General features: G+C 41.9%; 1 protein-coding gene across 5 annotated transcripts in view, besides 4 other annotated features; it reads right to left on the bottom strand.

Moving 5' to 3' along the window:
- The window catches only part of MIB1 (MIB E3 ubiquitin protein ligase 1), a 166,038-nt gene that overhangs the window by 112,263 nt on the left and 34,853 nt on the right, over positions 1–18,922 (bottom strand). For 4 of the 5 annotated variants that reach the window (XR_007066203.1, NM_020774.4, XM_017025874.2 and 1 more), the window contains exon 1: positions 16,879–17,899. The exons of the other annotated variant lie outside the window; for it this stretch is intronic. Coding sequence is in view for 3 of the 4 variants with exons in the window: in NM_020774.4 (NP_065825.1) it covers positions 16,879–17,107 (229 nt within the window). In the remaining variant the exon portion in view is untranslated. Of the gene's footprint in view, positions 1–16,878; positions 17,900–18,922 lie in introns of those variants that run through there. 5 annotated transcript variants of the gene reach the window in all.
- Positions 7,603–8,103: an enhancer, noted in NCBI's record as "H3K4me1 hESC enhancer chr18:19330549-19331049 (GRCh37/hg19 assembly coordinates)". NCBI's record gives its function as "activates a minimal SCP1, AML or CMV promoter by ChIP-STARR-seq in naive H9 embryonic stem cells {active_cell/tissue: H9 hESC(naive)}" and the evidence as "EXISTENCE:reporter gene assay evidence [ECO:0000049][PMID:30033119]".
- Positions 16,903–16,952: a silencer, noted in NCBI's record as "silent region_9345". NCBI's record gives its function as "represses an Ori minimal core promoter by ATAC-STARR-seq in GM12878 lymphoblastoid cells {active_cell/tissue: GM12878}" and the evidence as "EXISTENCE:reporter gene assay evidence [ECO:0000049][PMID:35858748]".
- Positions 17,073–17,702: a silencer, noted in NCBI's record as "silent region_9344". NCBI's record gives its function as "represses an Ori minimal core promoter by ATAC-STARR-seq in GM12878 lymphoblastoid cells {active_cell/tissue: GM12878}" and the evidence as "EXISTENCE:reporter gene assay evidence [ECO:0000049][PMID:35858748]".
- Positions 17,893–18,112: a silencer, noted in NCBI's record as "silent region_9343". NCBI's record gives its function as "represses an Ori minimal core promoter by ATAC-STARR-seq in GM12878 lymphoblastoid cells {active_cell/tissue: GM12878}" and the evidence as "EXISTENCE:reporter gene assay evidence [ECO:0000049][PMID:35858748]".

The following is an 18,922-nucleotide window of genomic DNA, read 5'->3' as shown; positions in this document are numbered from 1 at the left end:
TGGTGGCACACGCCTGTAGTCCCAGCTACTTGAGAGGCTGAGGCAGGAGAATTGCTTGAACCCAGGAGGCGGAGGTTGCAGTGAGTCAAGACCACGCCATTGCACTCCAGCCTGGGTGACAGAGTGAGACTCTGTCTCAAAAAAAAAAAAATTTACAAGTCAACCTTTATTTAAATGTAACTACTTATTGTGGCATAACTGTTGATGTCATTCAACAAACCAAGAAATTCTAATTTATGGATTCATTCAACTTTAACCGCAAATCAAATGTAACAAAAAGTATTACAGAGACTAAGGAGGGTTAACCAACAAGAATATCCATCTTATTTTCCCTGAACCATCAAAATATTTAACTGGTTTAGAAATTGCCTCAACTCTAATTAAAATTCCCAGTGAGGGCAAGGCCTTTGTGACCTGCCAGCTGGTTGGTAAAGTCCACATTCCTTTCTCTAGAGAAATACTAAATTAATGAAAATAGGATTGTTGTTATTAATAATACCAGCCACTATCTATTAGTACCAAGCTTGGTTCTTTACACACATTTTATTTAACCTTCCCAACAATTCTAAAAAGTAAGCAATTGTTATCCCCATTTTATGGATGAAGAAACTGAGTCTCAGACAAGTAACCTGCCTGAAGTCACACAACATTAGTAAGTGGCAGGTTCAAATTCAAACCCAACTGGGTCTGATCACAAAACATGGCCTCTTAAAGCACTTCATTCACTCTACCACGGTTTTTTGTGGTTTTTCTTCCGCACCTAGCATGGATCTTATTTAAAGAATAATTACGTATCTAGGGCATCATGTTCCCCCATGCACTCTACTGGATTTAGAGTATAAGTTATTAAATCCTATTTCAATATTCAAATAAATCTCAGACATATTTTAAAATGTTAAAAGACTGGCCGGGTGTGGTGGCTCACATCTGTAATCCCAGCACTTTGGGAGGCCCAGGTGGGTGGATCGCTTGAGGTCAGGAGTTTGAGACTAGCCTGGTCAACATGGTGAAACCCTGTCTCTACTAAAAACACAAAAAAGCAGCCGGGCGTGGTGGCATGAGCCTGTAATTCCAGCAACTTTGGAGGCTGAGGCAGGAGAATTGCTTGAACCAGGGAGGCGGAGGTTGCAGTGAGCCGAGATCGCACAACTGCACTCCAGCCTGGGAGACAGAGTAAGACCCTGTCCCAAAAAAAAAAAAAAAGACTGTCTTTTTTTTTTTTTTTTTTTTTTTTTTTTTGAGACAGAGTCTCACTCTGTAGCCCAGGCTGGAGAGCGGTGGCATGATCTCGGCTCACTGCAACCTCCGTCTCCCAGGTTCAAGAGATTCTCCTGTCTCAGCCTCCCAAGTAGCTGGGATAACAGGCATGTGCCACCACAACCGGCTAATTTTTGTATTTTCAGTAGAGACAGGGCTTCACCATGTTGGCCAGGCTGGTCTCGAACTCCTGACCCCAAGCGATCCACCCACCTTAGCCTCCCAAAGTGCTGGGATTACAGGCGTGAGCCACCGCATGGCCTAAAAGACTGTCTTTTTTAAGTTAATGTAAATAGTGTAGTTGACCACCACACCATCTACTTCCAACTCTTACCATAGTAAGAGTTGCATTAAGAAAATGCATTAAGAAAATGTCTTGAGCTGCTAAAGGATTATGTAGGAAAAAAAGAAAATGTCTGTGAATGTGTCACCCAAAGTTCACAACTCCTTCATACCTTTTCTGTTAGACAAATTATTCTATTTTGGAAGCCTCTGCCAGTCTATTACAAGTATGCATAATGCCACACACATTCCAAAAGAAACAAGTTCTCAAAACTAGACATAAAACTGGCAATTTTAATAATGGATTTGTTTATATTTTTGGCATTTTTTTACATAGGAGTCAAAAAATTAATGAGGTGAAACATAAAATTAAGAAAATACATTTTGACTCCACGTGCGGTGGCTCACGCCTGTAATCCCAGCACTTTGGGAGGCCCAGGTGGGCAGATCACCTAAGATCAGGAGTTTGAGACCAGCCTAGCCAACATGGCGAAACCCCATCTTTACTAAAAATACAAAATTTGCCGGCCACGGTGGTGTACGCCTGTGATCCCAGCTACCTGGGAGGCTGAGACAGGTGGATCACTTGAACCCGGGAGGCAAAGGTTGCAGCGAGCCAGGATTGCACCACCGCACTCCAGCCTGGGTGACAGAGCAAGATTTCATCTCAAAAAAAAATAAAAAAAAGAATTTTATACATTTTGAAATAACTGCACTAACTGGTAAAAACTCATAATTTGATTTTAGAAGCAGAACACCTGTGTACCTTGAACTACTCTGATTTCATTTTACAGGTGATGAATGAAGGCTCGAAATGGAGGGAAAAAAATGACTGACAGACCAAGATTTGAATCTCCACCATTAACTTATTACTTGTGGAGTCTTGGACAAGTTAGTTTATTTCTCATGGCCTATTTTATCATCAATAAAATGAAGCCTAACAAACAACGAGATAAAGTATACAATGCCTGACACATGACTGGAGCTCAGTAAATGTTAATCCATTCCACTAGTTAATAGTCTCAATTGATAAAATCCTTGATTTCCTGGCTCCTAAGCTACTGCATTTTCTACTATCCCCTGCAAAGAAACTGGGGGGTAAGGGATGAGTAAGGCACCATGATGTAAAATATTTCAATTCAAAGCTCTCGGGATTTATTATCACTAGCCCTGCAAAACTGCCACAAATTAAACAATAATTTATTTTAATATTACAAAGTCTCTGCTCCATTTCTTGTTGGTTTAGGAATAAAATTATCATCAAGACAATAAATCCACTCCTGAGGAAACCAAATACTCTTATCGTAAGTGTGCTCTGAGAATATAAACGAATTCTAACCCAAGCAAATATCCATGAAAGTAAATTTGCTTTTAAAAAAGTAATAAATATATAAATAAATAAGTATTCCAAAGCCAAAAATGAATGTCTGGACTATCTGCTGTTTTCCATTTCTTATGACATTATCTCCTCCACTAATTTAAATACTACCTTATCTTGGTTGTGTTCCACAAGTCCATTTTATAAAAGCCAGTTGTTGGCCGGGCACGGTGGCTCACGCCCGTAATCCCAGCACTTTGGGAGGCTGAGGCAGGCGGATCACGAGGTTAGGAGCTCAAGATCAGCCTGACCAACATGGTGAAATCATGTAAAAATTAGCTGGGCGTGGTGGTACGCGCCTGTAATCCTAGCTACTCAGGAGGCTGAGGCAGGACAATCGCTTGAACCTGGGAGGCAGAGGTTGCAGTGAGCCGAGATAGTGCCATTGCACTCCAGCCTGGGTGACAGAGTGAGACTCTGTCTCAAAAAAAAAAAAAAAGCCAGTTGTTTACAATTCAGAACCCATTTTCCCTCAGAAACAAAAGTTTAAAGATAACTTAGGTATCAGACTAGTTCACAAGAACCTGTTTACACTACGTAGTGCTAATCTACAGGCTTACAAAGATAAAAAATGTTGTGTTCCTAGTTCCATCTGAGGAAATGGTTAAATTGCTGTAACTATGTTCCCAGACATGATAAGACAAGCTAAACAAGACAAACCACATAATACACCACCCCTAGAAGTGGGGAAACAATGAAAAAAAAATGACTTAAAGAAGGGGTCCCAAGGAACTAGGATGCAGACCTTTAAAGAGGTGCTATGACTGGCTGATACAGGTGTCCCGGAGGAGGGTGCAGAGTAGAGTTTCGTTGTTGTCAGAAATACTGTAGACCCTCCTCATCCAAAGGGACTACTTTCCAATACTCCCCAACGGATGCCTTAAAGTGCAGATAACAGTGAACCCAACTGCTGCCAACTGGAACAGATTTCTGTTCACATCTTCCACCCACAAATTTAGTGCCGTTTCCATCTTAACTAAGCACTTAGGCACTGTGGCCCTAACTTTTGTAGTTTAAGATGTGACAGCAAAACTAACATGAATTTCTTTTACTTTCTTCACAATTTCATGGATAGACGGTTCATTACTGTAGATCTCAGAATCCTCAGCATAGGATTTTTTCCTCTTTCCCTGAGAACTTTCACCTTTTTACTTAAAGGATGCACTTGATGGCTTCTCTTTGACCTGTCTGAATTGCCAACATCACCGCTCTTCAGCTTTGGGGCCATTATAAAGTCAAGTAAGGGTTATGTGAACACGAGCCCCACAATACCATGACAGTTGATCTGATAAGAGGCAGCTACTAAGTGACTAAATAGGTGGGCAGCATAGGCAGTGTGGGGAGGCTGGACACGGTGACAGATTTGGTCCCAGGCAGGAGAGTTCATCACACTATTCAGAATAGTATGCAATTTAAAATGTATGAATTGTTTATTTCTGGAATTTCTGATTTTATATTTTCAGACCATGGTTGACCTCAGGTATCTGAAAATGAGGAAAGCAAGAGGATGGATAAAGGGGGACTACTGTATGCAAACTAAAATCAAATACTGATAGGGAAATCAACATCCCATCCCAGCTTGCTGGGTGGAATGATACCACACAGGAAAGAGCAAGTCAGATCCCCAATCCAGCCTTCCAGTCTCCCTCTAGTGCCTCCTACTGGCAGAGCCAACAGGGATCCAACTGGCAAAGGAGAAATACAGTGTGCAGAACCAGTCCAGCCTCACAGGGCAGAGATGGGGGTTAGGAGGTGAGTTTAATAATCAGCATACATCCATCAGAAATGCACTTTTTGGCCAGGCGCCATGGCTCACACCTGTAATCCCAGCACCTTGGGAGGCTGAGGCAGGTGGATCACCTGAGGTCAGGAGTTCAAGACCAGCCTGGTCAACATGGTGGAATCCTGTCTCTAATAAAAACACAAAAAATTAACTGGGTGTGGTGGCAGGCGCCTATAATCTCAGCTACTTGGGAGATCGAGGCAGGAGAATTGCTTGAACCTGGGAGGCAGAGGTTGCAGTGGGCTGAGATCGCGCCACTGCACTCCAGCCTGGGCAACAAGAGCAAAATTCTATCTCAAAAAAAAACGAAAGAAAGAAAAAGAAATGCACTCCTTTTATTAGGATCTATGATCTGTCATTTTGAGGTCTCTTTTTGAGCTACAGCATCCAGTAAAACCAAGAATTGAAACAAACAAAACTTAGACTTGACTTACTATTAAACTGAAATTTTCAAAAATGAAATCAAATTGGTCTCATCTCATTTAACAAAAAAAAATATTTTCAGGCTGGGCATGATGGCTCACACTGTAATCGCAACACTTTGGGAGGTCAAGGTAGGTGGATCACTTGAGGTCAGGAGTTCAAGACCTGCCTGGCCAACATGGTGAAACCCCGTCTCTACTAAAAATACAAAATAAGCCAGGTGTAGTGGCAGGCACCTGTAATCCCAGCTACTTAGGAGGCTGCGGCAGGAGAATCGCTTGAACCTGTGAAGCCAAGGTTGCAGTGAGCCGAGATCATGCCACTGCACTACAGACTGGGCAACAAGAGCAAAACTCCATCTCAAAAATAAATAAATAAAAATAAAGAATATTTTGAGAAACAAAATACCAAAATATCATTCTGAAGGTTTAATCCCTTCAGTCTACTCATCCTTTTTCTACATATATTTTTCCATAAATAATTTTTTAGTCTTTCAAAAATGTACTTTAAAAGCACAGTATTGGGGTAGGGAGGGGGCAGAAAAAAAAGAAAAAGCACAGTATCTATGTTAGCCCTTTGAAACTTGCTTTTTCACTCAACATGTATTTGGCAAACACACATCTAATTCTTCCATTTTAACTGCTAATATTTTACTTATGTTTTCATTAGTCTGTATATAAACTTTTAATTCCTCAATTATTATTTTTAATAAACAATATTGCAATGAATTTCTTCATACATATCTTTGTAAATATGTGCCTGAGAATCTCATGAACATACACCTGGAAGATGTTTTCAGCTGCAGAACATGTGTTTTTTGTTGTTTTTTGTTTTTTAATTTACAAGATGTTGCCAAGTTGCTTCTCAAAGTGGTTGTACGGATTTACTGTACCACAAGGCCTGGAGAGTTGTTTCCTTATATTCTTCATTAATACATACTATAATTAGACTTTTAATTTTTGTCAATCTAATTGAAGTGAAAAGATATCTTTTGTTTCATGTGTATTTCCCAGGTTACATGAGTTCGTTGTATGAATAGCTTTAGTTATTAGCTTTTTCAAAGCCAGAGGAATATTTATACTTAAATTTATCTAATCCATTTATTTCCTAAAGGAAAAAGCTGGCTGACCCAATTCTAACTGCTAACTGAAAATTTTCTCCCTTATCAGGTAACATAATTATCCATGACCACATACAAACATAAATATTAATTGGGCAATTTTCCTCATTAAAAAAAAACTTTATAAAGCATGTAACATTTCAGTAATTTGAATACTATTATATGATAGTTGAGCAGATATGACAATGTCACATCTTCTGCTGAGGGCAGAGCTTGTCCTCAAGAGCAGAGCTGGGACTTTGAGCCAATGTGTTTGGAATAAAGAATAAAAGATAAAACGACCCCAGTACTACTACAATAGTAAAGGCTGACCAGCTCAAGCTGGAGGATCTGACAGCCTTATATGAAGCTCAATTACTTGCTTTAACAACAAAAACTCTTTCATGGGACTAATATGTTTTCTTACAAGAAGCTAAATATAATTATATATAATAAACTACCTGTGACATATTGTGTACACACACACACAAACACACAGAGTCCCAAAAACCTATTAATGTCCAACAGTGGTATTACATTAAGTTAATCAAATAACCACAGCATGGACAAGCATAGGACTTCTCATATCCAACATTAAATGCTAGAACAAGGAGGCAGTTCTGACAGAAAAATATTTTGAATCTAGAATTGCATATTCAACCAAATATCAGTCAGGTTTAGGGGTGAGAGAGACAGTGTGGCAAAATAAAGCAATTTTCAGGCCTGCAAGGACTCAAACTACTAGAAAGAAAGAAAAGAAGGGAAGAAAAGGGAAGAAAGAAAGGAAGGGGAAAGGATTTTTCCCCCAATAAAATGAGAAGGGAATGACATGAGATATAGTATAAGCAGCAGTAATAAGAAAGAACTACAATTTTAAATCCAATTAATTATTAATAATATAACTGTGAGCTGGGTGTGGCAGGTCACGCCTGTAATCCCAGCACTTTGGGAGGCAGAGGTGGATGATCACTTGAGGTCAGGAGCTCCAGAGACCAGCCTGGCCAACATGGTGAAACCCCATCTCTACTAAAAATACAAAAATTTGCTGGGCATGGTGATGCACACCTGTAGTTACAGCTACTTGCAGGGTTGAGGCAGGAGAATCACTTGGCTGCAGTGAGCCAAGATCGTGCCACTGCACCCCAGCCTGGGCAACAGAGACTATGTCTCAAAATAAATAAATAAATAAAATAATAATAATAACTGTGACGTTTAATGCAATTTTATGAGCCAATCTTTTTCTTTTCTTTTTTTTTCCCCTCTGTTTGAGACTGGGTCTCATTCTGTCACCCAGGCTGGAGTGCAGTAACATGATCTCAGCTCACTGCAACCTCTGCCTCCCAGGCTCAACTGATCCTCCTGCCTCAGCCTCACCAACAAATAGCTGGGGCTACAGGCACACACCACCATGGTGGGCTAATTTTTATATTTTTTTGTAGAGATGGGGTTTTGCCATGTTGTCCAGGCTGGTCTCAAATCCCTGGGCTCAAGCAACCTGCCTGCCTCAGCCTCCCAAAGTGCTAGGATTACAGGCGTCAGCCACTGTGCCCAGCTGAGCAAATCTTACAACATAAAAAGAAGCATATATTTACAGGAGTATGGTTGGGGAGAAAGGACAATGCAAACAAAAATTTGGGACTAATTTTCCTGAAAATTTACATAAAACCAACACAATGAAAAAGGTAAGAGGTGTGGGGCAGGAGATGGCCGGGCGCAGTGGCTCACGCCTGTAATCGCAGGACTTTGGGAGGCTGAGGCGGGTGGATCACCTGAGGTCAGGAGTTCCAGACCAGTCTGGCCAACATGGTGAAACCCCATCTCTACTAAAAATACAAAAAATTAGGCCGAGCGTGGTGGCTTACGCCTGTAATCCCAGCACTTTGGGAGGCCGAGGCGGGCGGATCACAAGATCAGGAGATGGAGACCATCATGGCTAACACGGTGAAACCCCGTCTCTACTAAAAATATGAAAAGTTAGCGGGGCATGGTGGCATGCGCCTGTAATCCCAGCTACTCAGGAGGCTGAGGCAGCAGAATGGCATGAACCCGAGAGGCGGAGCTTGCAGTGAACTGAGATCTTGCCACTGCACTCTAGCCTGGACGACAGAGCGAGACTCCGTCTCAAAAAAAATAAAAATAAAATACAAAAATTAGCTGGACATGGTGGCACCCGCCTGTAATCCCAGCTACTCAGGAGGCTGAGGTAGGAGAATCGCTTGCACCCAGTAGGAGAATTGCTTGCACCCAGGAGGTAGAGGTTGCAGTGAGCTGAGATCATGCCATTGCACTCCAGCCTGGGCAACAGAGTGAGACTCCACCTCAAAAAAATAAAGAAAGAAGTATGGGCAGGAGTAATTAAAGAGACTGTTTAGTTTTTCTACATGCAAAAAAAACCTAATTTTTCAATCTGTTTGTTAAATATTAAAAGGTAATAATTAGCAGAGCAGAAAAAAAGGTGATAAAATTTCTAACTCACTGGTTAAAAAAAAAAATACAAGAAAACTGGAAAGTTAAAAAGTAAGGTAGCAGCCAGGTGTGATGGCTCATGCCTGTAATCCCAGCACTTTGGAAAGCTGAGGTGGGTGGATCACCTGAGGTCGGGAGTTCGAGACCAGCCTGACCAACATGGGGAAACACGGTCTCTACTGAAAATACAAAAAATTAGCCGGGAATGGTGGGGCATGCCTGTAATCTCAGCTACTTGGGAGGCTGAGGCAGGAGAACCACTTGAACCTGGGAGGCAGAGGTTTTGATGAGCCAAGATCGCGCCATTGTACTCCAGCCTGGGCAATAAAAGGAAAACTCCATTTCAAAAAAAAAAAAAAAAGAGTAAGGTAGCAGTAATTAGAAAAAATGTATCAGTTGTCACAATACATATGAACAAGTTAAATTCCTCTATTAAAAGACAAATGTTCTCAAAGTCAGTGAGGACAATATTTAGCCATGTCATTTATAACAGAAATTCCTGTAACAAATTAATTTAAAAGCTAAAAATTAGTACACAAAGGTATGTATACACAAAGATACTTGTTGCAGTGTTGTTTAAAATGACAAAAAAGAAAACACTATAAATGTCTATCAAAAGAATAGTTAAGTAATATATTTTTTAACTATTAAATACTATGTACCGACCAAAAAGAATAAGACAGATTCTTATGTGCTAACACTGCAAGATGTCCAAGACAATATTCATTTAAAAAGAAAGCTGAAGAACAGTACATATGGCATACCTATATGGAAATACATATATATTTCTCTCTAAGTAGTTAAGACATAAATGTCACCTTATTTTACCATATAGGAAGTACATATTAGATTATTTATAAGGAATACAGAAAACACACGTCAAGTGGAAAAAAAAGAATGAAACAAACTATGTATACAGTAAAACCTTAGCTGTGCAAAAAAGACACACTAGAAAGAAACAAGCAGGGCTCAGTGGCTCATGCCTGTAATCCAGGCAATCTGGGATGCTGAGGTTGAAGGATCACTTGAGGCCAAGAGTTTGAGACCAGCCTGGGTGATACAGCAAGACCTCAACTCTAAGAAAAATAAAAAATAAAAAAAAATTAGCCAGGCTTGGTGGTGTGCACCTATAGTCCTAGCTACTCGGGAGGCTGAGGTAGGCGGATCACCTGAGCCCAAGAATTCGAGGTTGCAATGAGCTATAATCACACCACTGCTCTCCAGCCTGGGCAACAGAGTGAAACTCTTTAAAAAAAAAAAAAAAAAAAAAAAGGCTGGGCATGATGGCTCACAGCTGTAATCCCAGCACTTTGGGAGGCCAAGGCAGATGGATCACTTGACCTCACAAGTTCAAGACCAACCTGGGCAACACGGCAGGACCCTATCTCTACAAAAAAATACACAAATTAGCTGTGCATGGTGGTGCGCACCTGTAGTCCCAGCTACTCAAAAGGCTGAGGTGGGAAGATGGCTTGAGCCCAGGAGGCAGAGGTTGCAGTGAGCCAAGACTGCACCACTGCACTCTGGCCTGGGGGACAAGAGTGAAACTCCAGAAAGAAAGAAGAGAAAGGGAGAAGGGGGGAAAGAGGGAGAGAGGGAGAGAGGGAGGGGGGAGAGAGGGAGGGGGGAGAGAGGGAGGGAGGGAGGGAGAGAGGAAGAAAAGCAAAGCAAAGCAAAAAAAGAATGGTTTTGAAAAGAGCACTGAACAATTTACAACAGGATGTATCACAAAGTTTCATTTCTAAATTGGTTTACATTTCATTATCAATTTTCCCACAAGCAAAGTGTTACAGGTGGTCATGTTTCTGAACCACTATACTATAAAAGAAAAAGAGAATGATACTGAGGAAAAGCAATCAACTGGCATTCATCCCTACTATCTGCCACTCACCAGCTTTGTGACTGGACAAATTTCTTAATCTCTCTGAATCTGAGTTTCCTTTTATCTTGTTTTAGGATAATATCTATCTAATCTCTGATCCAATGAGTCAAAAGCTCTTTGAAAAGTGTGTCTGATTCAGAAAATACTCATCCAGAGACATGGTTCTGCTAGAAAATGGAGATACAAGAATAACACAGACCCTTTCCCTTAAACTAATAATCTAGTGCAAAAGACAATTACAACACAGCATACCCTGCTTTAACAGATGAAAGCACACATGTGGGGATATCACACTAGCTAGCAATTATAGAGGGTGGAGGAGAGACCCTGGTGGGTGGCTACCTGGGAACACATTCAAAAAGAAATAGCTAATCTAATCAGAGGGACAGGCTGGAAAGTATAGGATCGAAAATACACATTAAGATAGCATTACACTTACAAAAAGTACATATATTAGAAAGGTGTTACATGCTCCTTTATTTCAGTTGTACACACTTCTCTTCTCCCCAACTAATAATGCCAATCTAGTTTTAAAGACATGTATTACCAACAAACAATCAAGGCTTGGAATCTGTTGAAAGGAAAAGGAGAAAACAGAAACGCAGGGCATCTCAAGTAGACAAATAGTCACTTAGTACTCTGCTATTCAAAGTGTGTCCTTGAGCCTGCAGTATCTGCATCACCTATGAGCTTATTAGAAATACTCTCGCAGAATCCCAAACTTACTGAACCAGAATCTGCATTTTAAAAGGTCCCCAGGTGATCTGTGTGCTTTAAGTTTGAGAAGTACTGACACAGGGGTCTACTAGTTGATTTCTTGAAGTCCTCAGCTCAACCAAGCTGCAATCTACAGGGACTATTAAGAACTAGATAGACTTTCATAATTTACAACATTGTTTTAGTGGAGGAAATAAAATAAGAAAGACATTTTACAGAAGCCTTTAAAATAGGTAGGATCTATGAGGAAATAAAGTTTTCCTTGCAGATGTCATTAATAAAAAACATTTTGTGATATTTCATCCTTTCCAGGTGTGGCATCCTGCTCCCCAAACATTGTTCCCTCAAATCCTGTTTTTTCCTACGGCTTTGTGTCCTGACAAATACCCCTTTCTACTGTGGTTCTAGAAACAGATCAGAATAGGGGACTCTATTCTGATAAAGAAAAGCTGAGGATTATTAATTCATTTCATTTTTTTAATCCAGGGTCAGCCCTTTTAAACCTTCAACTGAATACAAAACATCTGAGAAGTTTTTCCACGTATGACTGGAGAGGCATTCTTTGCTAGCGGTCAAAGACAAGGACAAAGAACTACCCCCAAAACAGTTTGAATGAACTATGACCAGAAGCTGGTTTTGAATAAAGCTGATTTTCTATACCTCTAACTCTGTATTATCGACACGAAGAATGACAGAACCTTAACAGGAAATCTACATTCATTTTCTCCATTATCTCTGGTAACAATACAACACTGTAGTCAAGTGAACACAAAGCAAGCATAAATAAAAACACATTTTTCTCCAACTCCTATAAAATCAGTGCCTAGATGATAAAAAGTCAACTATACCTACTTGACTACAGACTTTACAAAATTAGTCCAAACTAATTAAATAACATCCCATATAGTCCCAAAATCTTCTTGCTCACTACAAATGAGCCAAATGAATCTCGAAACAAGACAGACGTTATATCACTCAAACAGATACTAAATGCTCCTCTCTGCAAAGTTTAACTATCCTAGACCATAAATTCAAACATATCATGTGTGTCCTGAAAGAAAAAATAAAGCTGATATGCCAAAATATTAGAGACCCGCATACAACTCCCAGACAAAATCTTCAAAATGTAGTGAGAAAAATCGTATCAGAAAGATTCACAATGATCCAACCACTCCAGAATCCTTAACTCCCAGAAAAGTTGCAAGGAATCTTATGCTGAAGGTTACCCATTTCTTAATTCCCAATCATACTGCAATAAATTTTCTATTCATATAATATAGGTGGAACTAGGGAACAAATGATGAATAATCAAAGGCAACCTCAGTTCTCCCTCTGATAAATATAAGGCTTTTTTTTAAATTAAGTACAAAAATATGACACACACAAAAATATAGAAAGGGCTGGGTGTGGTGGCTCACACTTGTAATCCCAGCACTTTGGGAGGCTGAGGCTATGGATCACTTGAGGTCAGGTGTTCGAGACCAGCCTGGCCAACATGGTGAAACCCCGTCTCTACCAAAAATACAAAAGTTAGTCAGGTGTGGTGGTGCATGCCTGTAATTCCAGCTACTCAGGAGGATGAGACAGGAGAATTGCTTGAACCTGGGGGACGGAGGTTGCAGTGAGCCGAGGTCACACCACTGCATTCCAGCCTGGACCACAGAGGGAGACTGTCTCAAAAAAAATAAAATTTTGTGTGTGTGTGTGTGTGTGTGTGTGTGTGTGTGTTTAACACCTATGCACTCACCATGGGGTAGGTTTAATCACAGAACATTACCAAAATACTTAAATGCCCCTGGTGTACTTCCACCAATCGTGCTCTCCACTCCCTTCACCATAAGGATGTCCCACTCTCTTAAATTTAGTGTTTATCTTACCTTTACGTGGCATACTTTTACCACGCATGTACATATCCCTAAACCAATGAGTCTCAATTGGGAGCAATTTTGCCCCCACTAGGGGACATCTGGCAATGTCTGGAGATATTGTGGGTTGCCACAAGGAGGTGGGGTGCTACTGCTGCTAATGGGTAGAGGCCAGGGATGCCTGCCTACAATGCACAGGACATTCCTATAACAAAAAATTATCCTATCCAATTCAAAATGTCAATAGTGCCAAGGCTGCAAAACCCTACCCTAAAATAGTTTTGTTCCGCACTTTAACAGACCGTAGGTTTTCTTTTGCAACTTACTTTATTTGCTTAACATTCTCTTCTATACAGTACTGCACTATACAAATTCATACAACTTATCCAGTCTCCTGCTAAGGTACATTTAAGTTTTTTCCAATTTTCTGTTTTTACATGCAACACTGCTGTGAACATTCTTTTTTAAATTTTATTTATCTCAAAACCATAGTAACTGCTGTGAACATTCTTATACAAGCTTCTATGTGCTCAAATAGAGATTCTCTCCAGGGCAGTGACTTTTAAAGTGTTATTCTTCAACCTCTAGGGAAATCCTCAAGACCCTTTGAGGGACTTCATGAAGTCAAAAGTATTTTCACAATAATATGTAAGATACAAGTTATCTTTTTCATACTGGCATCACATTGCTGGTACAAAAGCAACAGTTGGTAAAATTCCTGGTGACCTAGCCGAGTTAACGCTATAATTAATGAGACATACGAACACCATGTACCTCCTGGTACGATGCACTAACAAGGGCAAAACATCATTTCTATGATATTCTTGCCGAAAATACATAATCTGAATTTAATCATGAAAAAGCAGCAGAAACACCCAATTTGAGAGATAACAAGATTGTTTTTCATTACTTTGACACTGACTAAAGACTGAGGAACTCACCCAGATTGGAAGAGACCACTAAATGCAACGTGTGATCTTGGATGAGAAAAAGAATACTAGTAGGACACTAATAATAACCACTGCATATAATTTGAATAAATAAAATTTGAATAAGGTGTATAGATTAGTTAATACAGTATTACCGTATTAGTGTTAATTTTCTGGTTTTGATCATTGTACTTGCTAAGATATTAACAGCTGAAGAAGGTGGGTAAAGGGCAAAAGGCAACTCTTACTAGTTTTGTAATTTTTCTGGAAGACTACAATTGTTTCAAAAACAAAAGTTAATTTTTAAAATGTTAATATTATGCAAATAAATATCAAGTACTTAATAAATATTGAGTAATCTTATAGAATGTAATAAAATGTCAGTGAACACTGATTATTAAATATTTTGAAGAAAAAGGAAAACACTGAAAGTAGTATTATAGTCCTGGGGCAAAACAAGAGCCAGGAGCTTACAATTTTGCTCAGTTCTAAAAAAAAAAAAAAAAAAAAAACCCTGAAGAATTTAAAAGGTTGAAATTAAAATATATTTCAACAAGTATTTCATATGAAGGTTGGCTATCCTGCTCTTAAAATGTTTGTTAAAAGACCAAATGAACAAGATAAACCACTACATATAACAAATTAATGTATAAAATTATCTTATTAAACTAAGATTCTAAAACAGTTACTTCTGAAAAACATCTACGTTTATATTAAGATAATAAAACTATTAATATGATAGATACACCCCATACTACAAACATATAGATAACATTAATGTCCCTTCAAAAATCACCGTAGTAAAGAATCTGTTACACTTTACCCTAGATACTTAAATTTCCTCATAAAGCTACAATTACTGATACCAAGAATTCCTCCAAATAAGGGTTGTGGTCAGACTTTAGCTTGAGCTAGCACGACAACAAAACTTCAAGGCTGCAGGTAACAAAACAAAACCCTGTCTCAAAAAAAAAAAGAGTAGGCAGAAATTAGGCATAGGCCTCAAACACTGTTGCTGGCAGTTTCAACTCACAAAACGTCTTCAAAAAGCAATTAGTCAACATCTACCAAAATGTTAAATATGTGCAATGTTTTGATGCAGCAATTCCACTTCTTCAGAAATACTCAACACATATACACAAGGATATATGTACAAGGATATATTCACTGCATCATTGTAAAGAAAACATGAAATAATAAAACGCCCATCGATAAAGTCCTGGTTAGATAAATCACCGTATCCAATCACTGGAATACTATGCAGCCATGAAACAATGGAACAATCACCAATATAATTTAGTGAAAGAAACGAAAGTGCAGAGGAGTGAATATAGTTTATTATCATTTGCACTTAAAAGGGGATTAGATTTATAGTATAGTCACACACATGCTTGCCATGCAATAGAGTATTCTGCAAGACTACACAAAAAACTGGTAACAATGGCTGCCCCTTTTTGTGCTGTTGAATCTTTTCATTTTCTTCTAGTCATGTACATACACCCTTTTTAATATTCAAAAAGCTATCTGAAGCCTGGCCTTGTGGCTGACTCCTGTAATCCCAGCATTTTGGGAGGCTGAGACAGGAGGGTTGCTTGAGGCCAGGAGTTCCAGACCAGCCGGAGAAATAAAACGAGACAACTGTCTCTAAAACAAAAATTTTTTTTAATAAATGTTTTTAAAAAGCCAGCTAAGGAACACAATTTTACGAATTATCTGTTCAAAAACTGAGTTGGCTTGTGTTAATTTCTTTATTGCTACTGATAATAACTGTGAGCCCATTCCAAGATTTGTAAGGCTTTGCCAAACTCAATGTCTTAGAAGTAGCTCATTTAGGAATTCTGAAAAGTACCCAATTTTAAATGTGAACTATTTTCTACAGAATCAAGGATAAATATCAAGGATAAATAATACCAAAGATGAATCTATATGAAAATGAATTTGTTATTTATTTTGTGAAAGCAAGCCTTTGGTTTAATCATTTAGAAACTCTAGCGTCAATAACAGACCCCTAAAATTCACTAATCAAGATTCACTAATCAAGGACCCTGACTCACTGCTGGGTGAATGAGTAAGATTCTGACATCACCTTACTGAGACGGACGTTAGTGTAACAAAAAATAACATCAGGTGTCCCCCACGCCGATCTGCCACTTGGAAAAAGTATTTAACACAAAGAAATGGTTCAAGAGCTCAGGATGTTTTTCTCTCTATTGATATAAAGATATAAAATAGAACAATTTGGATGAAAAATCATTCCAGAGTCCCAAGTAACATTTGGCTACTGAACTCCAAGTAATTCTGTGTCACAGGAGGTTAAAAAAAAAAAAAAAAAAGGCATCTCCACAAATCCGAGGTACCAAGGCCCCTTGGCAATTATAAACGGTCAGCTGAGCACCATATGGCAAAGCAAGCCTCCCTTCAGACAGTTATCACTTGGTGGCTGATTAATTTCAATGGCTTATTAGATAGGCCTCTCCAGACCCCTTCCCAAGAGGAGGAGTCGGGTTGGGGGACCTGTGTCTGTTCTCTTCCCGGTGCTTTGTGTCTTCCAGGCTTGAAAGCATCCCGGTGATGGTGCTGCCATCATTTCCCTTGGGGGTAGAGGGTCTTTTCTGAAAGTGTTTGTTCACCCGTTCGGAACCTAGAATTCCTTTGGCGCTTTGCCTTTCCGCTCGCTCCAGCCGGGCGCTGCCCACCAGGTGTCCCACTGCAGACCTCTCCCCGCGACACCGACGCCCACCGCAGCTCGCCCCTTCCCCCCGCGCGCGCAAGCCCTGGCCAGGTGGCCGCGGCTTACCGGTGGGCGCGCTGTCCAGGATGCGGAGGTCGTAAGCCCCGGAGCAGCGGTAGTTGGCAGCTGTGCCGTTGTCCCACACTACCACCACCTCCTCGGGGCTCTCGAAGCTCCGGACGGTGCCCACATGGCCCTCGCCGCCGTCCTGCTTCCCCCACTTCCAGTCCGGGCCGCGCACTACCCGAGCGCCAACCCCTTCCACCATCACCCGGTTATTCCGGGAGTTACTCATCGGGGCCCGGGCGGTGGGCTCCGCCGCTGCCGCCGCCGCCGCCGCCGCTGCCGCCGGGGGGCCCGTGAGGGAGTTGGGCCCGGGCCGGACTCTAGGCGTCGGCGGGGGCGGCAGCGAGCCCCGGGGGACGTGAGAATAACTCACGGGGGCGGCGGCGCGGTCCCCGCGGAGCCCAAAGCCGCTGCCCAGCTGTCGCCGCCGCGCCCCCCGCTCGGAGTGGAGGGCGGCCCGCGGCTGCTCGGAGGCGGCGGCGGAGAGCGGGCAGAGGGGAGGGGGCCGTGGGCGGGGACTCTCCCGCTTCCTCCGGGCTCCCCGGCCAGGCTACAGCGACGGCCGCAAGGAAACCACGCTCTCCCCCGGCCGGCAGCGCGAGGAGCGCAGGGGGCCGGGGGAGGCTAGCCCGAGGGGGGCGGCGGGGAGCAAGCTTAACTGCCGGCCTTTCTGCCACCCCGGCCCCTCGCTCGGGGGCGGGCACCCAAGCGCCGGCGCCGCCTCCTCCCCCGTGGGCAGCGGTGGTACCTCCCGGCGTCCGGCGAGCGCCCGGGCCCTCAGGCCCCCTTCTCTCTGCCCCCGCACCAGCCGCCGCGCTCCGCCCCGCCACAGAGTCCCAGCCGGGCGAGAGCGACTCCACATCCGGGTACCGCCGTACCCAAGGCCGGAGCGGCACCTTCTCAGAGTGTCTAGGAGGGGGATCCTCGGCAATAATAGAGTGGGAAGGCTTCCAGAGAGCCGCGCGATCGCGGGAAGAAAGGAGGAGAAAACTGATCCCTAAGCGTCTCTCCAGGGTCCAAGGAGAGTGCGCATGCGCGCGGTCTAGAAAAAGGGCGGACGGTTGCCCAACCCCAGCCCCGGGCGATGGAGGGGCGGGCCCAGGGGCGGATCCCTGGAGTTGCCGCCCGGTGGTGCCGCGCGCCCAATGAGCTATGAGGAAAGCGGTTAGGCCGTCCTGGAGGCGGGGCTGGAGAAAGTGAGGGTGGGGAAGCTACCCGGGCTGCTGGAGCTGTGCGGCTGTGATGTGGCCAGTTTTTCACTAACTGCTAGTTTTCCTAGGCGAACTAAATGTGAATTAGGGATTCCATATTCTTTTAGTCTTCTTTTTTAACGAAGGTAGAAATACATTCACAAATTCAGGGCGATCTGTATTTGTGTGTAAATTGAAAACATTTCAAACCAGACAGAGCAGGTTAGTAGTGTGTTTTTAAGCTGAACAGCATGGTATGGAATGTTGTGAGCAACGGTAAAGACTTTTAGAAGGTGTGTCTTGACTTTATGCAGAATTAGGGTGATAGGCAGACTCCAAACTTTGCTCATTAATAATTGCCTCCACTCACGAAAAAATTCAGTCCCTAATTACAAAATACAACCTTCAAAGGAAGATTCGAAGACTGTAAGAGAAGTTTCTGGTTGCCGTTATTCAAATGACATTATGCTGCATAGGGTTTAAAACCAGTGTTTCCACAGGCCAGCACTGTTGGCACCGTTAGCATGCATTGTTAGCATAAACTGTTGCTTTTCCTGATAGTCAAAGGAGGGAAATGCTAACAGAATGGATAATCAAGGGAAAAGACAAGAAAACGGACGTAAAATGTACCCAAGGAATTACTATGTACTGAAATAAAATTTTTTTTGTTTGGTTTTTTTTGTTGTTGTTTTTTTTTTTGCTTTGTTTTTGAGACAGGGTCTCACTGTCAGCCAGGCCGGAGTGCAGTGGCGCCATCTCCGTTCCCCGCAACCTCCGCCTCCTGGGTTCAAGGGGTCCGCCCACCTCAGCCTTCTGAGTAGCTGGGACCTCAGGAACGCACAACCACGCCCAGC

The sequence above is a fragment of the Homo sapiens genome, chromosome 18, assembly GCF_000001405.40.
Source record: "Homo sapiens chromosome 18, GRCh38.p14 Primary Assembly".
Taxonomy (NCBI): Eukaryota; Metazoa; Chordata; class Mammalia; order Primates; family Hominidae; genus Homo; species Homo sapiens.
Note: the sequence above shows the minus strand (reverse complement) of the source record. Positions and strands in the feature narration are given on the sequence as shown.